The sequence below is a fragment of the Homo sapiens genome, chromosome 16 (assembly GCF_000001405.40).
Source record: "Homo sapiens chromosome 16, GRCh38.p14 Primary Assembly".
Taxonomy (NCBI): domain Eukaryota; kingdom Metazoa; phylum Chordata; class Mammalia; order Primates; family Hominidae; genus Homo; species Homo sapiens.
In genome coordinates, this window is record NC_000016.10 from 33008740 (window position 1) to 33012356 (window position 3617).

Sequence of the window (3617 nt, forward strand, 5' to 3'; positions counted from 1 at the left end):
GGGCTAACTCTGGCCAGATGTGTGATATTGGACACATTGCACAACTGCTCTGTTATGTATGTAATTCATCTTCTCTACAAATGTAACATTGACACTTGCACTGAATATATTCTGCAAATGTGTAAACATTAAATAAGATGATGACTGCTAATTGATCATCAAGGCACAATCACATAATCTGAAGTTATATTTTCCTGAGAGATAGGATTACCTCCAATGTTTTCTGGGATGCTCTCATCTTCTCTGGGCACTGCCCTCTCCTCAGCTGTCCCACCACAGAGCTTGCTATATAGTAGGAGACATGCAAATAGGGCCCTCTGTCTGCTGATAAAAACCAGCCCAGCCCTGACCCTGCAGCTCTGGGAGAAGAGCCCCAGCCCCAGAATTCCCAGGAATTTCCATCTGGTGATCAGCACTGAACACAGAGGACTCACCATGGAGTTTGGGCTGAACTGGGTTTTCCTTGTTGCTATTATAAAAGGTGATTTATGGCGAACTAGAGACACTGAGAGGACGTGAGTGAGATAAGCAGTGAATATATGTGGCAGTTTCTGACCAGGTTGTCTCTGTGTTTGCAGGTGCCCAGTGTGAGGTGCAGCTGGTGGAGTCTGGGGGAGGCTTGGTACAGCCTGGGGGGTCCCTGAGACTGTCCTGTCCAGCCTCTGGATTCACCTTCAGTAACCACTACATGAGCTGGGTCCGCCAGGCTCCAGGGAAGGGACTGGAGTGGGTTTCATACATTAGTGGTGATAGTGGTTACACAAACTACGCAGACTCTGTGAAGGGCCGATTCACCATCTCCAGGGACAACGCCAATAACTCACCGTATCTGCAAATGAACAGCCTGAGAGCTGAGGACACGGCTGTGTATTACTGTGTGAAACACACAGCGAGGGGAAGTCAGTGAGAGCCCAGGCACAAACCTCCCTGAAGGGGTCCCAGAGACCACCAGGGGGCGCCAGGACACTGTGCACGGGGCTGTCTCCAGGGCAGGTGCAGGTGCTGCTGAGGGCTGGCTTTCTGTCATGGCCTGGGGCAGCCTCATCGTCAAATTTCCCCAGGGAACTTCTCCAGATTTACAATTCTATATTAACATTTGATGTCTCTAAATGTAAAACGTTTTTTTTTGTTCCTTTGTTTTTGTAACAAGAGGAAACACCCTCACCTCCACAGAAGCCAGGGTGTCACTTTGGGGGCAGAAATAATCCTTTCATGGTCAGGATGAGAGTCCTGAGGAATCTCAGGGAAACCTGGAGAGTGTTTTCCAATTAGACTCAGAGCAGAGACCTCCATGGGAATCTCTGATTAGAACAGGCCTTGAGCTCTGATGGGAGCCAAGAGAGAGGCTCACCCAGGGTCAGGGTCCTTAAAACCTGATGGTTTTCACAGCTATCCCCTCTCAACTTGTAAAACTGTGCCCATCTGACTCAGACTGATTCAGCTGACCCTCTTTCTGCTGATCCATTTTCCATCTCTGTAGACTTGATTCTCACAGTTCCCTTTCTTCTTCTCTTCCCTGAAAACAGAAGATGTGTTTTCTGTAGTCAAAATTCCAGGGCTTGGGTCTGCAGGACCTGGGTAGGCTGAGGGGACTTTCTCACTCACCATTGTCTGGACACTCCTGTTGTCTTCTGTGCATGGAGGCATTTGGAAAATGTAGTGGACATTAGCCATGAAGGGAATAATACTAGTTTTCTCCAATGGGATATTGATGTAGAGCTGATCTTGTGCTTCTCATACTATCTGAGTTTGGACTCTCACCTGTGACTTTGAGAAGAGCTGAGGATGGGCACTCCATTGTGCTGTGAGCTCTGGGTAACAATAATTGTAGAATCTGGCTAGGCAGTTTAAGGTCAATACTACTGGCCTTCGGGAAAGACAGGCTGGAATTCCTGGGAAGATCTGCATCTGCCGTCCACCACGGAGCCCCATCGTCTTCTGTTATGCTGTCTTTGAATCAGTCCCAACTAGATTATCTAGAACACTCTTCGTGACTTAGGAAAAAATAATGGCAGGCTCCACTAACACCTGTATTATGCCATGGGAGCAACACCTAGGCTAGTGTGTGATTGAATAGATGAGACTACGGTCTAGTCAAGGTGACAGGTAAAATTGATTGTTGCCATTATGATATTTTATTTTATATTTGGCAATATAATCATGCTCATATTATAAATATTTTTTGAGACGGAGTCTTGCTCTGTCGCCAGGCTGGAGAGTGCAGTGGCACGATCTCAGCTCACTGCAACGTCTTCCACCTCCCAGGTTCAAGCAATTCTCTTGCCTCAGCCTCCCGAGAAGCTGGGATTACAGGTGCGCGCCATCATGCCTGGCTAATTTTTGTATTTTTAGTATCGACGGGGTTTCACCATGTTGGCCAGTGTGGTCTCGATTTCCTGACTTCGTGATCTGCACACCTCGGCCTCCCAAAGTGCTGGGATTACAGGCATGAGCCACCACGCCCGGCCTAGTTTTATTAATGTCTGTCCATACCAGCAACTACATACCTATGGGGACATTAATTTACATCTGCAGACATATGTGTAAATACACAAGCCTATACATACATGTGTAGTCATTTATATTTAACATTATAACAAAATAATTCTAAAATATTTTCTAAAGAATTAAACTTAATGATGAGCTAAATATAAATTAGAGTAATCTATAATTGATTTCAACAGTTCTCTATAGTTTACATAAATGGATGTCTATTTCTAAGCTTTAACATAGTGTATTTGTCATTTTAAAATAGTCAAGAAAAAATTACAAATGTTCTTGTCACAAAAAAGATAAGGATTTGACGATTTGAGGTAATATATATGTGAATTAACTCGATTCAATTATTCCATATTGCATTCACAAACCATAACATAGCTTTGTGCCCCATAAATGTATACAACCAAAATTTCTCCATTTTCAATGAAATTTTAATTATATATTTTTAAATCTGATGCCTCTCCTTGGATTAAGCCACCTCCTCAGGGTTACAGGGCTCTTCCATTTTCTCAACATGCTGTTATACCAGATGAGCACAAAAACATTAATTTCATTATGCTTAGCTTTAATTTTTCAAAACAACATAAAGGTGATAATTTTAACGATAGACGTATTACAACCTACTATACATGAGACCCTTTCCGTGCTTCAAGGTTTCTTCTCAGGATTTTACATGTATTGCAAATTTTCATTTTTCTCTGATATGGAATGCTGATTTCTCTTTATTACAGATTATCAGTTTATGTTTTAAATTTATCTCTTAAAATTAATTTTTTCAAAGTCCCACTCAAACCAGGGTATTATTAGAACTTTGAAGTGTAATAGTTGGACCAACTTTGAGAATACATTCAATTTAGTTCACGTGCTCTCAAGCATCTTTTTTTTTCTTTAAAAGTTGTTATCAGTTGTAATATCACACAAAATATTAGTAATTTATACTAATGACACAGGTTAAAATATTGTATAAATAATTTAATTACATTTGATTGGAAAAAAGGAATATATGTTCCTCATGTCTTGACTTTTTTTCTTCTCTATGAAATGCATGCATATTAATTATTAAGTTTAAGATGTTACCTTTGTCTTTTTGATTTCTGGGATTTAATTTTAGTACATAT

At 41.5% G+C, this 3617-nt stretch overlaps 1 gene segment (V, D, J or C); it reads left to right on the plus strand.

Annotated features, from left to right (window-relative positions):
* The first annotated feature begins 384 nt into the window (after nt 1–384).
* On the plus strand, nt 385–907 carry IGHV3OR16-8 (immunoglobulin heavy variable 3/OR16-8 (non-functional)). The segment is given in 2 exon segments: nt 385–481; nt 579–907. Coding segments are annotated over 2 exon segments (375 nt in total).
* The last annotated feature ends 2710 nt before the right edge of the window (nt 908–3617 follow it).